The 17,509-nt window shown below is 54.4% G+C and overlaps 2 protein-coding genes across 3 annotated transcripts, besides 7 other annotated features; one reads left to right on the top strand and one right to left on the bottom strand.

Moving 5' to 3' along the window:
- The first annotated feature begins 465 nt into the window (after positions 1-465).
- C1orf232 (chromosome 1 open reading frame 230) lies at positions 466-5,328 on the top strand. Of its 2 annotated transcripts, NM_001364669.2 has the most exons (4): positions 466-1,013; positions 3,311-3,394; positions 3,506-3,603; positions 4,974-5,328. In NM_001364669.2, exons 1-4 carry the CDS (start codon positions 930-932, stop codon positions 5,266-5,268), a joined length of 561 nt encoding a protein of 186 aa, NP_001351598.1. In that variant the 5' UTR covers positions 466-929; the 3' UTR covers positions 5,269-5,328. The 2 variants fall into 2 exon arrangements, with proteins under 2 accessions (NP_001351598.1, NP_001351596.1); NM_001364667.1 differs by lacking the exon at positions 4,974-5,328 and having other exon boundaries at positions 847-1,013; positions 3,506-3,721.
- Positions 985-1,140: a silencer, noted in NCBI's record as "fragment chr1:26494780-26494935 (GRCh37/hg19 assembly coordinates)". NCBI's record gives its function as "represses an EF-1alpha promoter that drives an FKBP-Casp9 reporter gene in an ReSE screen in K562 erythroleukemia cells {active_cell/tissue: K562}" and the evidence as "EXISTENCE:reporter gene assay evidence [ECO:0000049][PMID:32094911]".
- Positions 4,593-5,162: an enhancer, noted in NCBI's record as "H3K27ac-H3K4me1 hESC enhancer chr1:26490758-26491327 (GRCh37/hg19 assembly coordinates)". NCBI's record gives its function as "activates a minimal SCP1, AML or CMV promoter by ChIP-STARR-seq in primed H9 embryonic stem cells {active_cell/tissue: H9 hESC(primed)}" and the evidence as "EXISTENCE:reporter gene assay evidence [ECO:0000049][PMID:30033119]".
- Positions 4,938-5,137: a silencer, noted in NCBI's record as "silent region_474". NCBI's record gives its function as "represses an Ori minimal core promoter by ATAC-STARR-seq in GM12878 lymphoblastoid cells {active_cell/tissue: GM12878}" and the evidence as "EXISTENCE:reporter gene assay evidence [ECO:0000049][PMID:35858748]".
- Positions 5,329-5,466: 138 nt separating the features above from the next.
- On the bottom strand, positions 5,467-10,350 carry FAM110D (family with sequence similarity 110 member D). Its single transcript, NM_024869.3, has 2 exons — positions 10,303-10,350; positions 5,467-8,217 (listed from the first exon to the last, which is right to left on the bottom strand). The coding sequence occupies exon 2, from the start codon at positions 8,135-8,137 to the stop codon at positions 7,322-7,324; it is 816 nt and encodes a 271-aa protein (NP_079145.2). The 5' UTR covers positions 8,138-8,217; positions 10,303-10,350; the 3' UTR covers positions 5,467-7,321.
- Positions 12,076-12,805: an enhancer, noted in NCBI's record as "H3K4me1 hESC enhancer chr1:26483115-26483844 (GRCh37/hg19 assembly coordinates)". NCBI's record gives its function as "activates a minimal SCP1, AML or CMV promoter by ChIP-STARR-seq in naive H9 embryonic stem cells {active_cell/tissue: H9 hESC(naive)}" and the evidence as "EXISTENCE:reporter gene assay evidence [ECO:0000049][PMID:30033119]".
- Positions 12,806-13,535: an enhancer, noted in NCBI's record as "H3K4me1 hESC enhancer chr1:26482385-26483114 (GRCh37/hg19 assembly coordinates)". NCBI's record gives its function as "activates a minimal SCP1, AML or CMV promoter by ChIP-STARR-seq in naive H9 embryonic stem cells {active_cell/tissue: H9 hESC(naive)}" and the evidence as "EXISTENCE:reporter gene assay evidence [ECO:0000049][PMID:30033119]".
- Positions 13,536-14,265: an enhancer, noted in NCBI's record as "H3K4me1 hESC enhancer chr1:26481655-26482384 (GRCh37/hg19 assembly coordinates)". NCBI's record gives its function as "activates a minimal SCP1, AML or CMV promoter by ChIP-STARR-seq in primed H9 embryonic stem cells {active_cell/tissue: H9 hESC(primed)}" and the evidence as "EXISTENCE:reporter gene assay evidence [ECO:0000049][PMID:30033119]".
- Positions 14,266-14,995: an enhancer, noted in NCBI's record as "H3K4me1 hESC enhancer chr1:26480925-26481654 (GRCh37/hg19 assembly coordinates)". NCBI's record gives its function as "activates a minimal SCP1, AML or CMV promoter by ChIP-STARR-seq in naive and primed H9 embryonic stem cells {active_cell/tissue: H9 hESC(naive and primed)}" and the evidence as "EXISTENCE:reporter gene assay evidence [ECO:0000049][PMID:30033119]".

The raw sequence follows: 17,509 nt of genomic DNA, 5'->3' as shown, positions 1-17,509 counted from the left end.
TTATTCCCTTGAGTCTCCATCCTCTCTCTGACCCCAACCAAATCCGTGAAGGGTGTTCCTCCCCAGAGAGTGCAGTCCTCAGGCATCCAGACTCCAGAGGGATCAGTTCCTCTCACAAGTACTCATAGAAGGACCTCTCCATCTTTGCCTCCTTTCTCTAAGCCCTGGGCTCCCAGAGGTGGGCTGGCAGCAAAGGCCTAGGTGTTGCATGCTCAGAGTGGCTAGAGGGCCTTTCCCCATTCACAGGAGCCTGGTGCCTCCCAGGCTGGCCAGAGCCAACTCAGCTGGAAGGGGCCAGAGGAGCTTAGCAATAATTCAGGGGCTCCAGCTCTTTGGAGTCTGTTGCCAGGAAACAAGGAGACAGGCACGTGTATCCCTGGGGAGAGGAATCAGTTTCCAGCCCAGACAAAGGAGTGAAATGTAAGCCCAAGGTGCCCACTGGGGGCCTGCGGACCTTCCTGCTCCAGTTCATTGAGGCTAAGTAGGGACACAGGGTGGAGCCCTGCTGAGGACACAACTAGTATGACTACAGTCACAGGGGCTCCAGTGTGGGTCCCAGACCTCAGGATTTTGTGAATGGAAGAAGATTTTCCTGGAGGCATGCTAAGAGATGAACAACTCAAGTACTCCTAGGCCCAGGAAGAAAGCCTCTCTAGAGACAAATGACTTCATTATTCTTGGCCAATATGGGTCAAGACAAGGGGCTAAGGTGGCAGAAGCTTGTTCCATCCCCCACTCCCCGACTCCTTTGGATCAGGTTCACCTCCTGGGCACTGTGCCAGCTGGGGAGGCTGGTGCATCTTTAATGAAGTCACTGGATCCCTCGGACAGGCTCTTGGCCTCACCAAGTTCCTAGAGCCAGACTCACTGGTATCCACTGAGCCACCACCTTCCTGTGCTTGCGTGCCAGGCCCCTTCCCCCTGCAGCCATGAACCAGGCCTTCTGGAAAACCTACAAGTCCAAAGTGCTACAGACCCTGAGTGGGGAATCTGAAGAAGACCTGGCAGAGGAGGTGGGTGCCATCCATGCATGGTGGGTGGAGCATGTGCAGAGGGGCAGCAGGAATGAGCAGTATGAAGTGGGGCACAGGATAGGCTTGGAGGTGGGGGGGCCACATTTGTGCAGATGCCACATTCAGGGATGGTAAAAACCATGGTGCAGCATCAGAAAGCCAGGACATTCAAGAAAACTGAGGAAGAAAAGACTTAGGGACCATGGGAGGAGTGGCCACTGTCTCCAAAGATCTCGAGGCTGCCACATGGAAGAGATTCTTCTAGGACCAGTGGGCAGTAGGCACACGGGCACACTTAGCTGGACACAACTTTCTAATGGGAGCAGAAGTAGGAGTGATGTAGTGAGCCCCATGTTACTAGAGGTAGGGGGAGTGGCGCCTGTACTAGAAAGGTCACTGCAGCAGCATCAGATCAAAGCCATACTTAGACCATGCTTTGTTCTGACATTACAAAAAACAAGCAAACAAACAACAACAACAAAAAACAGGCTGGGCCGGGCACGGTGGCTCATGCCTGTAATCCTAGCACTTTGGGAGGCCGAGGTGGGTGGATTGCCTGAGCTCAGGAGTTCAAGACCAGCCTGGGCAACACGGTGAAACCCAGTCTCTATTAAAATACAAAAAAAAGTAGCCAGGCATGGCGGCGTGCACCTGTAATCCCAGCCACTTGGGAGGCTGAGGTAGGAGAATTGCTTGAGCCTGGGAGGCAGAGGTTGCAATGAGCTGAGATTGAGCCATTGCACTCCAGCCTGGGCGACAGAGCAAGACTCCATCTCAAAAACAAACAAACAGGCCAGGCGCAGTGGCTTCTGCCTGTAATACTAGCACTTTGGAAGGCCACGGAGGGTGGATCACCTGAGGTTAGGAGTTCGAGACCAGCCTGGCTAACATGGCGAAACCCTGCCTCTACTAAAAATACAAAAATTAGCTGGGCATGGTGGTGGGCACCTATAATCCCATCTACTCAGGGGGCTGAGGCAGGAGGATCACTTGAGCCCAGGATTTCGAGACCAGCCTGGGTGACATGGTGAAACCCTATCTCAACAAAAAAATACAAAATTAGACAGGCATGGTGGCACACACCTGTAGTCCCAGCTACTCAGGCTGAGGCGGGTGGATTGCTTGAGCCCAGGGAGGTCGAGGCTCCACTGCACTACAGCCTGTGTGACAGGTGAGACTTTGTCTCAAAACAACAACAGCAAAGTTTCTGAAACCAGGGACAGTCTTATGTCTGGAGGCTGTGATAAGTGGCAGTCACACAATCACACAAAATGTGGCAGAGGCAGGAATCGGTTCAGAGGGGCGGGGAATGGTTTGAATTCTTAAATGTCTGGAGAGGTTGGTGTCTAAGGCTGGGCTTGTGCAGAAATGTCAGTGGGTAACTGGTGTGATCAGTATCTGGGTGGAATCCCCAGTGAAAGTGTATGTGAAGGTGTGAACATTTTGGGTAGCAGTCTGCCTGCATGCCTCTGTGTAGACATTTGCAGGTGTTGTTTGTATGGTGTATGTGTTTTGGTATCTGTGGTTGGGTGGAGAGGTTTTGTGTGTTGTGGATAGGCCTCTGTGCAGCTGTCTGTGGTTGTATAAGTGCACAGGTGTGAATGATATAACTGTGTGTGTCCTTGTATAGGTGCTTCACAACACGTATGTCTATGTACAGGTGAAGAGCTGTAGCCATGTGGGGGCATGCTCATGTACAGGTGTGTGTCTACATCAGAGTGCATGCCCATGTCCACGTGCTTTTGGGTGTATATGGATGTGTCTGTGGTGGGCAGGTATGTGTGCTCAAGGGTGTCTGCAGCTCGGACTGGCGGCTCACGCCTGTAATCCCAGCACTTTGGGAGGCCGAGGTGGGAGGATCACTTGAGGCCAGGAGTTCGAGACCAGCCTGGCCAACATGGCAAAACCCCATCTCTATTTAAAATACAAAAATTAGCAGGGCGGTGGTGGGTGCCTGTAGGCCCAGATACTCAGGAGGCTAAGGCAGGAGAATCACTTGAACATGGGAGGCAGAGGTTGCAGTGAGCCGAGATCGCACCACTGCACCCCACGGCAAGACTCCATCACACACACACACGCACACACAAAGGAAAAAAAGGGTGTCTGCAGGGATTTACTCTGCAGGTATACCTGTATGCATTCCCATGTGCCCTTGTGGATCTGTGGAGTGTATAGGTGTGTGTTTAGTTCTGTGGGATTTGGGGTGCCTGGTCTGTGTGTACTAGGCTAGCAGTGGAGGAGGGAGATCTCACTCCTCTGCGGCCTCTCTCATGCTGTGTGGGGGTCTTGTGTCCCAGAGGGAGAACCCAGCATTAGTGGGGTCTGAGACAGCAGAACCGACCGAGGAGACCTTCAATCCCATGTCACAGCTGGCCCGCCGGGTGAGTATTCTCCCTTCTTCCACCCCAACCCTGGGCAGCCTGGCAGAGGCTTCTGTGGAGTCCTGGGAGGTTGTGCTGGACCCCCTCCCTGACTCCCAACCCCTTTCCCAGGTTCAGGGGGTCGGGGTGAAAGGCTGGCTGACAATGTCATCTCTGTTTAACAAAGAAGATGAAGATAAGCTGCTGCCATCAGAGCCTTGCGCTGACCAGTATGTGCGTGTGTGTTTGTGGTGGTTCTGGAAGGGGCCTGAGGTCCCCCTTCTGCCTGGTCCTTTCCTTCTGGTTTGTTTGTCTTTCTAACCACTGAGGGCTGGGGAGGGGCAGTCCCAGGCTGTTTCTGTTTCTCTCAGCAGGAAACAGGCCAAATCAGCATATCTGGGAGATTAGGGTAAATCTCAGGAGGAATCGACCAGCTGTTGGGATTGAGGTGCTAGAAGGTATTTATGGGCTCTCACGACCCATCCGCTTGGGAGGGGCCATCTCTCTAAAATCCAAGAACGCAGAATACCTTTAGGTGTTTGCAACAGCTGATCCAACTCAAAGGTTCTCAAATATTGCCTAAACCCTCACCCTCCAAGGAAGCGTGTCACAAACATATTCTTGGACCCTCCTTCAGAGACTCCGATTTCGCTGGTGTGGCAGAGTCTTGGGGATCTAGCCATGTTTTCAGCAAGCTCCCCCAGGGCCCTGCAGCTTGCAGCTTTGGGAACCACCGTCTGAGGTCTTTGAGGCCAAGGATTAGCGGGTGGGACCTGGGACCTCAGTCTCCCTCCTGGCTCTATCTCTGGCACATTCTCCATTTCTGCCTTTTCTCCATCCTGATCACATCCCCCTCTCACCGTTGACCCTATTCTTTTCTCCTAGGGTCCCCATGACCCATCAGCCTCTCCCGCCCCCAGGTTTCCATTCTTTTCCCCCACCCCCAACCCCAGTTCCCCAAGGAACTTCCTGGACTTGAGGCTTCCACTTCAAGCTTCATCACCTCTCCGTGACTGCCCTTCCCCCCAACATCTTCCCACTTCTCTTGAGTCCCGCGCTCTCCCCTAAGCCTCTGACCTAGGCCTTCCTGTCGCTCCACCTTTCTCCCGTGCTCCTAGTCCCCCTTTCCCTCAATCTCAGAACCTGATTCCTGTCTGTGCCCCGCCTCTTTTCCCCAGGGCTTCCCTCAGGGGGGATCTGAACAGCCCTCCCGCTCCCACCTGCTTTCCCAGGGATCCTTCCAGCTTCCCAGACCTGCGCACGCCTCCAGCGTCCCTCCTCGAGCCTCGCCTGAAACCCTGACCTCATTCTCTCCCCAGGGATCCTGATCCCGGTCCCCTCCCTCCACATCCCTCGCCTAATCCCCTGACCCTGTCCCACCCCAGACCCCTTTCCCAGGGCCTCTGAGCCCTCCCCTTGCCTCCAGGCCCTGACCCTCCTCCTCGTCCCGGTCCCCCACTGGTCACCTGACCCCGCTCCTCACCACTGCCCCTGACTCCGCCCAGGTTCCCCCGGCCCCACTAAACTCCTCCGTCAGCCCAGCCGATGTTCCTCCGCGGGACCGCCCGGCCGCTTCCCTGACCGCGGCCCTCTCCCGCAGCCCTCTGGCGGCGCGACCCCCCTCGCAGGCGGCGGCGGCGGCGGAGGCGCGCGGCCCGGGCTTCTGGGACGCGTTCGCCAGCAGGTGGCAGCAGCAGCAGGCCGCGGCGGCGTCCATGCTGCGCGGCACCGAGCCCACTCCGGAGCCGGACCCCGAACCCGCGGACGAGGCCGCGGAGGAGGCCGCAGAGCGCCCCGAGTCGCAGGAGGCCGAGCCGGTGGCCGGCTTCAAGTGGGGCTTCCTCACTCACAAACTGGCCGAGATGAGGGTGAAGGCTGCGCCCAAGGGTGACTAGCAGGCTGGCAGAACCCCGCGCCCGCTGCTCCCACCCCTGATAAAAAACCCTGGCCCGACAGCCTGTGTGACCGCGTGCTTTTGTCCAGACATCCAGAAAGACTGCTTTTGCGGGGGTCGACCTCGGGCGGGGTCCAGCTGGAGGGGTCCTCACCTCATCAAACATACAAGGCGAAAATGACCAGAGTCAGCCCGCATATCAGGATGGGTTTTTTATTTAAGGTACAACTTTCCAGGAAGTTGGAGAGCTCCAGAGGACTGCGTCCATCGCCCTCTCCAGCCTCATTTAATTCAACAAACTGTGCCTGTGGCCCTACTATGTGCGCCGTCCCTGTACTAGGAAAAAGGTCAAAGATTAACTAGAGAACCCAGAGTACCAGCGGGTCCCACAAAAGGTGACAAATTGAGGCCCAAAAATAGGACTGTACTTGGGAGCTCAGAGCAGGTGAGGCTGACTGGGGGCATTCAGGACGGCTTCCTGGAGGAGAATATACGTTATCTCCGAGAAGGAAGAAGGGGGCCGGGCGCGGTGGCTCACGCCTGTAATCCCAGCACTTTGGGAGGCCGAGGCGGGCGGATCACGAGGTCAGGAGATCGAGACCATCCCGGCTAAAACGGTGAAACCCCGTCTCTACTAAAAATACAAAAAATTAGCCGGGCGTAGTGGCGGGCGCCTGTAGTCCCAGCTACTTGGGAGGCTGAGGCAGGAGAATGGCGTGAACCCGGGAGGCGGAGCTTGCAGTGAGCCGAGATCCCGCCACTGCACTCCAGCCTGGGCGACAGAGCGAGACTCCGTCTCAAAAAAAAAAAAAAAAAAAAAAAAAAAAAAGAGAAGGAAGAGCAGAGAGAAAAGGAACGGCAACCCAGGCAAAGGAAGGAGGTGCATGAAGGATGCAGGCTTGGAGGTGCGAACCTGTGATGAAAATAGGCGAACTTGTGTGTCCTTGCAGGAAAGGGAGGCAGTGGCAGGAGCCTGCCGGCTGGCAGGAAAGGTTTCCTTCTTTTCTTTTTTTATTTTTATTTTTATTTTTTGAGACGGAGTCTGGCCCTGTTGCCCAGGCTGGAGTGCAATGGCTCGATCTCGGCTCACTGCAACCTCCGCCTCTGGGATTCAAGCGATTCTCCTGCCTCAGCCTCCCGAGTAGCTGGGATTACAGGCGCGCGCCTCCAAGCTCAGCTAATTTTTGTATTTTTAGTAGAGCCCATGTTGGCCAGGCTGGTCTCGAACTCCTGATCTCGTGATCTACCCTCCTCAGCCTCCCAAAGTGCTGGGATTACAGGCCTGAGCCACCGCGCCCGGCCCGGTTCCCTTCTTTTTGTGTCCGAAAGGTTGGATCTCAGCCCTTCATACCCAGTGACCACAACTGGGGCAGCAAAACTCCGGGAATGGGGCCTTTTAGGATCTGGTGGAGCCCAGATTTCTGGAGCAGACGCCTCCTCGGGCTCCCAAAGCGCATTATTCCCAGCTCCCAGCTCTAGTTTGGATCGACCTGGAGGCCAGTGGAGATCACAACAGTGTTAGTACTCATTCGGTAGAAGTCACAGCAGTTATCGTTTATTGAGCACTTTCTATATGCTGGGCACTTTGCCATGCGCATTACAACTATTTTGAAATACTTCTATCCCCTACTCCTCCCTCCTTAATAACCGAGGGGTGCCGCTGCGTCCAGGGAGGTCAAGTTCTTGCCCAGGATCACACAGCCGGGAACACACATTCCAAAACCCACGGGTTTAACCGCGAAAACCCGTTTGCTCCTTCCTCAGCTCCCCATTTAAATAACGTTTTAACTTTATTCAGCAGGTTTGCTCATCTCCCACCCCAATCGTGACTCCCCAGACCGGGTCTCCACAGGGACCAAGAGGCCTCTCCCTCCCCCTTCGCCGCGGGAGCAGGGAAGGGCCTTCGGCAGCAACTTGTTCCACCTCCCCAAGGTTCAGACGCGAAACTGAGTTCCAGAAGGAAGGGCTTACGCAAAGGCACCCAGCGCGCCAGAAGAGGGGTGTCCTTTTCCGTGCCCGGGGCCAGTCCCGGGGCCAGTCCGGAGCCGCGGCGGTCACACCTCGGACTCGCGCGGCGGTCCGCGGGCGCGCTGGCAGCCGTACAGCCACTGGATGACGCGCGCGTTGCGCTCCACCACCGACACCGGGGGGCGCCGGTCCCGCGCCGAGCCCGCTGCCTCCGAGCCGCCGCCGCCGCCCGCGCCGCCCGGGCTGTCCACGCCCCTGTCGCTGGATGTCCAGTCGCTGGCGTCCCCGGAGCCGGGCGGCGGCGAAGTTCCGGCCTGCGGGCTGGCGTCGGCTCCCCAGCTCTGCGGGGAGAAGCGCTCTGCGCCCAGCACCTCCACCAGCGCGCGCTCCAGGCCGCAGTAGTTGAAGAAGCGCTCCTTCTCCGACAGGGGCAGCGAGCACGTGGGACACAGCGCCCGCTTTCCCGCCGCTTCCGGGGCATCCTGGGGCGCAGCCCAACCCCCTGAAGCCGCAGGTCGCTCTGTGGAGGCCGGGCTGCTCGGGGCAGCGTCCCGCGGGGCACCCAGAAAGAGGCGCCGCACCAGACCCTGGCCCTTGGCGTTCTCTTTGTTCACCGAAGCCTTGCAGTCCCGCTTCTGGCGGTAGAAGATGAGGGAATCAGGCCTCGGCAGCCGCCTGCCGCTTCCCCGGCGGACCGGCCTGGGCGTCCTGGGCGATGCAGGGGGCCCCAGCTCGTTGCAGGGGTGCGGCGTGAGCGGCCCAGGACTCCCACGCAGGGCTGGCTCCTGTCGCCTAGCTATCACCTGGTGCGTCTTGACATACTTGGCTTTGTCGGCTTCCAGCCTCTCCACGGCGCTGGGGGTCCGTCCTCTGGACGGGGTGGAGGGAGGGGCCAGGAGCATCTTAGCAGAGCTGGTCAGGACAGTGCCCCATAAGTAGCCAGCCACGGGGCCTAGAGCAATTGGCTTGGGCTCTCACTGACCTGCAGGGAGAGAGGAAGGTCAGGGGAAGGGTAGGAAATGCCCCTGGTCCTCTCCTGCCGGCATTCCTCAGTATAGGATCAGTCAGCCACCCTCTCCCATCCAGGTTAGCCGGTGCCACATCCAGGGAGCAGAGGCTCAGGCCATCCCCTTTCCCTGTCCTTCAGAGACATTGAGTGGGGTCTCTCTGGCCACTCAGAAACATATTCCCCTTTGAAGGTGCCCCAATCTGGCCACAGGGTCGTGCAAGCAGGCCTTAGCAAGCAGGACACTTGGAAAAGGAAACAGGGCTGGTCCCGGCCCAATTCCTGAAAGTGGCTTCAACCGGAAAAAATACCTCTTCCCAACCCAGCAGCTTTGAGCCCAAGACAAGAAGGCTCCCAGCCACAGGCTGGCTCCAGCAGGGCCCACCCTTCCCGCCCCCAAACACCGAGGTCGGGGATATAACCACAGGGTAGGAGCCTCCAGTAATTGCAGCCAACTGCCCTGCCCAGGCCCAGCAGGGCCATCGGGGCAGGAGAGGGAGGTGGTCCCCAGGCCCTATCAGCTACTGCCAGCTACTCTGCCCCTGCCAAGGGGATCGCAGAATGCCAAACTGTAAACATCACCTTGTTTAACCTTTGCATTTCCATTTCATGAAGAGGAAACTGGCTTGGAGAGGAGGGGGGCTTGCTCAGGTCCTATTGAGAGTTAGGAGCCAGGACTGGAACCCAGGTTTCTTTTTTTTTTTTCTTTAGACGGAGTCTTGCTTTGTCACCCAGGTTTCTTGCCTTGCAGTTCAGATTGGATCTCTCACTTGCCTATCAGAACTTCCCACTGAGGCCAGGCGCGATGGCTCATGCCTGTAATCCCAGCACTTTGGGAGGCCGAGGTGGGTGAATTACCTTAGGTGAGGAGTTCCAGACCAGCCTGGCCAACATGGCAAAACCCCATCTCTACTGAAAATACAAAAATTAGCCAGGCGGGGTGGCGCACACCTGTAATCCCAGCTACTTGGGAAGCTGAGGCAGGAGAATCGCTTGAAGCTGGGAGGCGGAGGTTGCAGTGAGCCGAGATCGCGCACCACTGCACTCCAGCCTGGGCAACAGAGCGAGACTCCGTCTCAAAAAAAAAAAAAGAAAAAAAAAAAGAACTCACTGATATTTTGCGTGTATTCCCGCTGCTATAAAACCAAGCAATTTCCGTTAGAAATGGGCCCCTTGCCTCACTAAAAAGTTCCTTCCACTAATTCTTCCTAATAACCTGCGCTCCCACTCCCAGAAATTTGCCCCCAGGGTCCTTGTCCCTTTTTTATCCTAAGACCTCATGACCCTTTTCCACCTCCCTTCTGCTGGGGCAAGGAGCGAGGAGGGGTTGTAAATCAAGAGCTGACAGTTCTCTTGGCAGTAACAGAATGGGCCACCCACATGGCCCTGCACACCCGACCCCACCCCTATCTTCCCCTACTCCCCCTGAGTCCTGGAGGCTGAGGGACCTTGGATCTGGGGACAACAAAGGAACAGAATTAGCCAGGGAAGTGGGGAAGGAGTCTGTGAGAGGCCTTGGGGCAGAGACCCTGCCAGGTCCAGCCCACCCCTGCACCCAGCATCTAGTGTGTAGTCAGTCTGCTCATAGGTAGTTGAGGCCTGGGAACCAAGGAGAGTCTGGCAGTGTCCCCCTCCCTGTCTCCCAGGGAGTCTCCTTGGCAGTGGGTCAGATTCCAAGGTCCCAGGAAGGCACTGCTTGTCTGACCCCATGGGTGCCCTCTGTCCTCTCCTCTTCTCCCCAGCCCTGAGCAGGGAGACTATAAAAAGTTCCTAATCACAAGGACCAAAATAGTCTGTCATCCACAGCCTCTTCCCTGCCTTCTGGGCTAGCCTGGAGGCCGGACCTCAGACATCCCGCCCTAGAAGCCTGGCAGGCAGCCTCGGGCCCTCCATTCCTTTGCCTGCCTTCTCCCAGTCCTGAAACTTGTGGTCTCAACTCTGCCCAAGGCTTCTGCTCTGGGCATGGGCCATCTTTTAGGCTCACTAGTTTGGCACCAGTCTCCCTGCCCTCAGGCCCCTGGGTTCCTTCTTACCCCAGCCCTGGGCTCAGGGTACACTCACCTCTGCATGGGAGGCCTAATTGCAGGGGTCCTTGGGCAGGTCCAGACTGAGGGCAGGAGTGGACAGCAAGGACTAGAAGTAACTTTGGTGGCAGCCAAACCTCACTCTCCACAGGAAAAGCAGAGAAAGCCTCCACCCCCCGCCCCCCAAATTAACCCTCGCCTTCCTGAGGCAGATCCTGGCCTCCATTAACTCTTTCCTGATCACAGTCCTGCGCTGTGGAGACCTGTGAACCAAGTCCAGCTCCTTTTATTTTACAGATGGTCAAACAGTCCCAGCCCGGTTAGGTGATTGGCTGTGGAAGCACTGTGAGCTTGGGCAGAGCCAGGACTCCAAACAAGGCCTCCTGATCCCCAGGCTTCCTCCAAAGGCCTGGGGTGGGGGCTCCGTATGTGGGATCAGCCCCCTCCCTGGGCTGTGGCAGATGCTCTGACAGTCTGAATGGGAAGGCAGAACAGGGTTCTAGTCAACTTGCTTTTTTCCCTCTGTAGCAGGCTGAGACCTGTCTTGGTCTGGGTGCTGGGTGGTGTCAAGCCTGCTTTCCCTGGGGGCGAGACCAGGAATCTGCAGCCTAAGGGTGGGGGCATTGGTGCTATAGATGTGCAGGTGAGCCTGTGGCGGCAAGTCTTGTCATGAAGGTGACCCTGGAGCCCACTGGAGCTGCCTCTGCCAAGGTCCTTTCATGGCAGATGGGATTGCCTGGGAAGACAGTGATGAGGGGCTGATTCCAGGGCCAAGCCCAGGTCCTTTGGCCCGCTTCCTTCTCTGCCCACACTTGGAGCCTCTTAGAGCTTCTTCCATCAGAGTTTCTTCTCTGACACCTTATGTCTCAAGGTGAAACCCTACCTCATAGGAGACACCTCCCCTCTCCCCAGCAGGCAAACTAAACTCTCCAGCCCAGACTAAGACCAGTGCTCAGGCCAAAGGTTCCTTTCCCCCCTTGGCTGGCCACCTTCCCCAAGTCCCTCCTCCTCCTTTCTAGCCCTCTTTCATGTTTGCAAAGCACATTCCCGTCTGTGCTCTCTGATCTCCTTTGACCGCCCCCAAACAAGGACCCTAGACAGGCGTCCAGCAGGAATGACCCCCCACTTAATGAGTAAGGAAACAGGAGCTGAGGGGGGAGAGAGATGCCCAAAGCCCAGCTCCAAATCCACATTTGGAACTGCATCCTCTGCCTGTCAAGTCAGTAGTGGGTCTGAAAACCCAAGGCCCATCTCCCGGTAAAAGGTTTTTATTACCTAAAGGGGGGATTTTGTTGGTGATAGTTCCATATTTTGTTGCTACAGCACTTTTCAAAATGCCATTAGCTGCTTTGTCATAATCCCCATGACAATCTTTGGGGGAGGTTTTATTATTTTTCACACTTACGGCTGAAGAGACTGAGGCTCAGAGAGGAGAAATGACTTATCCAAGCTCACCAAACTCTGTCACCCAGGCTGGAGTGCCGTGACGTGATCTTGGCTCACTGCAACCTCCGCCTCCTGGGTTCAAGCGATTATCCTGCCTCAGCCTCCCGAGTAGCTGGGATAACAGGCAAGTGCCTGGCTAATTTTGTGTTTTTAGTAGAGACAGGGTTTTACCATGTTGCTCAGGCTGATCTTGAACTTCTGACCTTGCGATCTGCCGGCCTCGGCCTCCCAAAGTGCTGGGATTACAGGTGTGAGCCACCTCTCCCGGCCAATAGCTAACTTTTATTGAGAGATTAATATATGTTAGGGGCTATTCTAAGTACCTCACATAAGGATTAACATATTTAATCCTCAAAACAACCCGATGAAATGGCACTTTCGGGCCGGGCGAGGTGGCTCACACCTGTAATCCCAGCACTTTGGGAGGTGAAGGCGGGCCGATCACTTGAGGCCAGGAGCTGGAGACCAGCCTGGCCAACACGGCGAAACCCTGTCTCTACTAAAAATACAAAAATTAGCTGGGCGTGGTGGTGCGCTCCTGTAATCTCAGCTACTAGGGAGGCTGGGGCAGGAGAATCACTTGAACCCAGGAGGCGGAGGTTGCAGTGAGCCAAGATCACACCACTGCACTCCAGCCTGGGTGACAAAGCTGCAAAAAAGAAAAACAAAAAAAGTCACTTTCATTCTCCTAACTTTCTAGGTGAAGGCTGAGGGTGCCAGCTTGGCTCTGAGATCTGGTCAGGAAGGGGTTAAGCATGGGAGGTGGGCAGGGCCAGCTGGGATGCTGTCAATGGCAGGAAACCTGGCCCGCCGCCTGGGGGGAGGATGGGGCTGTTGTGTCTGACTCTGCAACCCCCATCCCTTTGGTCTTAAAGGAGCATCCAGGTTGGGTGGTAGGACCGGTAGGGGCCCCTTCACAGCTCCCTTCTAGGGATCGAGGACAGATGCTGGACTACAGAAAGAGGGGACTCAGGGTGCAACGCAGGTGACACCCTGGGGCAGCTCTGGTCTGACAAGGGTGACTCAGTCCTCCACGCCAAAGCCCTCAGTCGGAAGTGCCCCCACCTCTGCTCGGGAGGGTTTTGTCAGGGAGGGGAGACAGCCCCAGCTCTGGGAGCCCCCAGTGAGACAGAAGTGGCACAGCTCTGCCCTCAGGGATCTCTGGTGGGGGCTGGGGGAGGGCTAAGCAGCCTTGCTCTCAGGAGCTGTCAGTGTGAGGGCAACAGACCCCTACCCTGATGCCAATGGACAGAATCCTGGGAGACAGGCACAGACCTTCCACCCTGTGGGCAGCGCAGGGTCAGGGAGGAGAGGTCAAATTGGATCGGCTTTCTGGGTAAGGGGGCCCTGAAAAAGTCAGCAGAGGAGAGGGGAGGTGGGGGCGGATGAGAAGATGAGGTGGGCTGCATCTATCTGGCCTCGGCTCCCAGCCACCCTCGCCATGAACCGGACCGTCCCTGTTTCTGGTTGTGGGTCCCCTGGGACTACCTTAAAGTAGCTCTTTCCGGCCCTAGAGCCAGGACCTCAGGCAAGGGGGAAGCGAGTCTTGGGGTGTTTCCTTCCTACTTCCTGCCTCATTCCCAGATCACCTTGGGGATGGAGATCGGGAATGGGCCTGAGTCAGAACGTCTCCTTCCAGGAGAGGGTGGTGGAAGGATGGGGGAGCAGCTCTGGTCAGTGTCGGGAATAACCAGCCAGGTCAGGGAGGCCTTCAGATCCAGTCTCACATCCCATGCCCACATTGTCACGGAGGAAACGTGTGTCACCCCCTTCACTAGCTGGCTACAGCCCCCACACCTCAGCCCTACCTTTGATTCCAGCCCTAGTCTACCTCTCGCTGGCTGTGTGGGCTTGAGCAAGAACTTAACCTCTCTGAGTTTCCTTCTGTGTCAGGCGGGAATGGTGAGACCCAGCTCCTGTGTGGCTTGGAGATGCAGGGAAGTGGAGCCTGCAACCAACCGCAAGGTGCTCTGGAATGTGGGGCCTGCAATCCGCAAGGTGCAAGTTAGATGAATCTGACTTCAGCTTTCGCCCTTTACCAACTCCTTGCTGCACTTCTGGCCCGCATCTCTTTTCCTAATCCCAGTCTTGCTCACAGCTGCCGGCAGCAAATCACCGAGAACACCTGCACTGTGCCATGGGGTCTGCAGATGGATCCAACGTGGTTTTGCTCTCAGTTGGTGGCAGAGGCAGGAAGCTTCACCACGACTGGTGAGAGACCAGTGCTACTGCAACCAAGATGAACACAGCAGAGGGGATGGTGACCTCTTCTGCCCGGGGTGGGGTGGGAAGCTTCAAAGAGGAGGGGTATCTGAGCCCTACTGGGAAGGGATTTTTGACTGGGTTTGGGGGAGACAGAGAGAGTGTTGGGCCGAGAGCACTGCAGGCGCCAGGTCTCAGTGAGGGCAAGAGGCCAGGGAAGGGTCGCGGAGAGTGAGAGAGGGAGGAGCGGGAGAGAAGGTGGGAGGGCATAAGAGAGAAGATGGGGTGCAGAGAAGTGATGGGGTTTGTGAATAGATGGGTAGGCTCAGACTGAGAGAAGGGGCTCGAGGGGACTTAGAGAAAAGATGGGAGCTCGGGGAAGGGAAGGGCTCAGGGAGGGGACTGGGGTTTCTTGAAACAAGAGTTGGGGAGAGGGTAGGCGCATCTGCCAGGCCCCAAGGCCACAGGAGAAGCCCCCCACAGAGATTAGAGCAGCCGTCCTCTAATTCAGGGCTTTCCGTTTCGGAAAGAATCTCAGCCACAACAATAGCCTGGCCCCAGTGCCTGCGCTCCCTCTGAGGGGTGTGGCCTCTGGGCAGAGCCAGGCCCCACACCCACCGCCCAAGACTCACGGAGGAGGGGGCAGGGGGAGAATGGGAAGGAAGATGCCATTAAGTTTTTTTCTTTTTTCTTTTCTTCTTTTTTTTTTTTCTGAGGCAGAGTCTTGCTCATTTGCCCAAGCTGGAGTGCAGTAGTGTGATCACGGCTCACTGCAGCCTCGACCTCCCAGGCTTGAGTGATCCTCTTGCCTTAGACTCTGAAGTAGCTGGGACCACAGGTGTGCAACATCACACACAGCTAATTATTGTATTTTTTTTGTAGAGATGGGGTTTTGCTATGTTGGCCAGGCTGGTCTCGAACTCCTGGCCTCAAGTGATCCTCCCACCTTGGCCTTCCAAAGTGCTGGGATTAAAGGCATAAGCCACCGAGCCCAGCCTAAGCATTTTTTTTCCTGAGTAATTATGTGTTGCTAGTGAACAAAGTGAATAAGATAAGATTTCTGCTCTCACGGAGTCTCCAGCATAGTGTCAGAATAACAAAACCAACTACATTTACTGTTCCCTATATGCTAGGCACTATGCCAAGTGCTTCACACTCAGTGCCCTGCTGACTTCTTACAAAATCCTATGTGAAATGGTGGGTGTTATTACTAGCTCACTTTTATACATGAGGAAACAGAGGCAGAGAGAGGTATAATAACTCACCCACAGTCACACAGCTTGCAGATGGTAGAGCTGGGGCTTTAACCTCGAGGGAGAGCTGTCCGCCCCTATGTGGCTCAGGCAGGGCTAGAGCAAATCTGTTCTCACTGCCTGCTGGCCTCCCTGCCTTGCTTGCTCTGTCTTCTGGACTGAGGCAAGGATGGGCATGAAGACAGTCCCAACTGCCATTCTCGTCATCTCCACCTCAGCCACCACCTCTCCACCTCCACCATCTCACCTTCCACTTACATGTCTTCATCACAGTTCCTTTAGATTGAGTACAAGGAACAAAAAACATCTCATCTAGACTAAGTAAAATAGGGGAACACATGGAAAAGAAACAGAGTTTCTCATGGAATGAGTTGGCAAGAAATCTATCATCCTCCTACATTGACAATATATATCTTCATAATGGCAATGTTAAAAAATATGGCCAGGTGTGGTGGCTCACACTTGTAATCACAGCCGTTTGGGAGGTGGAGGAGGGAGGATCCCTTGAGCCCAGAAGTTTGAGACCAGCCTGGCAACACAGGGAGACCCATCTCTACAAATCATAATAAAAGATATTAGCCAGGCATGGTGGTGTGCACACCTGTAGTCCCAGCTACTTGGGAAGCTGAAATGGGAGGATCACCTGAGCCCGGTAGATCAAGCCTTCAACGAGCTATGATTGTGCCACTGCGCTCTAGCCTGGGTGACAGAGCAAGACCCTAACTCAAAGAAAAAAACACCAACTATTTTTAAATTTTTTGAAACAGAGAGAGTTGGCAAGATGTCAAAGGTGACTGAATTTAATTAGTATTGAACACATATGGGTGTTCTGTTAAAGGGCCAGTAATGTTGGGTGAGTAAGAAAACAAAGAGCATATAAGGTATAAATTATATCTTTATCCTGTAAAATTTATTTTTCTTGCCTTGATTTCAGCAAAATTAATAATTGTGTTGCTGTAATCAAGTCTCACATAATTTGTATTCTACTGACAGTAATGCCTAATTAGACAACCTCTCCTATATCTGTGTTGGGGTGTTTTTTGTTTGTTTTTTTCTTTTTTAGTTTCAATTTAGAGAAACATTGCTCTGCTGAGATATTAGCAACTAGAAATCAAAATAAAGGGTGGGCAGGGTGGCTCACACCTGTAATTCCAGCACTTTGGGTGGCGGAGGCAGGTGGATCACTTGAGTTTGAGACCAGCCTGGCCAACATGGTGAAACCCCATCTCTACTAAAAATACAAAAATTAGCCCGGACGTGGTGGCACACACCTATAGTCCCAGCTACTCCTGAGACTGAGGCAGAAGAATCGCTTGAACCCGGGAGGCGGGGGTTGCAGTGAGCCAAGATCACGCCACTGCACTCCAGCCTGGGCGACAGGGTGAGACTCTGTCTCAAAAAAAAAAAAAAAAAAAAAAAAAGGAAACTATTAAAGTAATATTTAAATTTAGAGAGGAACTATGAATGTTACATAACAGGTTTAAATGTTGAAATGGAGTACATATGATAAATGATGGTGAACACAGGACACATTACAAGATATGTCAATGTCATCACATACACGCCTATCTCTTACATCATAATTTTCACATCTCATAAAGCAAACCTAGATTCATGAATTAATAGTAAGGAATTGGCACCATGCTTCATGCATATTATGCCTAGCCTTCACTTACAAATTTACGAGTAAAATGAATTGTTTCATGTTGCAGAATGTTCCTCAGCCATTCTATGCTTCTTTTGAAAATGCAGTAGTCCTCCCTTATCCGAGAGGGATATATTTCAAGACCCCCAAGGGATCCCTGCATCCACAGCTATTACCAAAGCCTATATATACTATATTTTTTCCTATTCATACATACCTATGATGAAGTCTAATTTATAAATTAGGCACAGTAAGATATTAATAACAAAAACCCATAATGAAATATAACAAAACAATATACTGCAATAAAAGTTATTCAAGGCCGGGCATGGTGGCTCACACCTGTAATCCCAGCACTCTGGGAGGCCGAGGTGGGCAGATCCACGAGGTCAGGAGTTCGAGACCAGCCTGGCCAACATAGTGAAACCCCGTCTCTACTAAAAATACAAAAATTAGCCGAGGGTGGTGGCATGCATCTGTAGTCCCAACTACTCAGGAGGCTGAGGCAGGAGAATAGCTTGAACCTGGGAGGCTGAGGTTGCAGTGAGCTGAGATCACACCACTGCACTCTAGCCTGGGCGATAGAGCAAGACTCTGTCTCTGAAAAAAAAAAACAAAGTTATGTGAATGTGGTCTCTCAAAATATCTTATTGTATTATGCTTCTTGTGATGGAGAAGGGATGGAGAGGGATGGCCTG

This window comes from Homo sapiens, chromosome 1 (genome assembly GCF_000001405.40).
Source record: "Homo sapiens chromosome 1, GRCh38.p14 Primary Assembly".
Lineage (NCBI taxonomy): Eukaryota > Metazoa > Chordata > Mammalia > Primates > Hominidae > Homo > Homo sapiens.
Note: the sequence above shows the minus strand (reverse complement) of the source record. Positions and strands in the feature narration are given on the sequence as shown.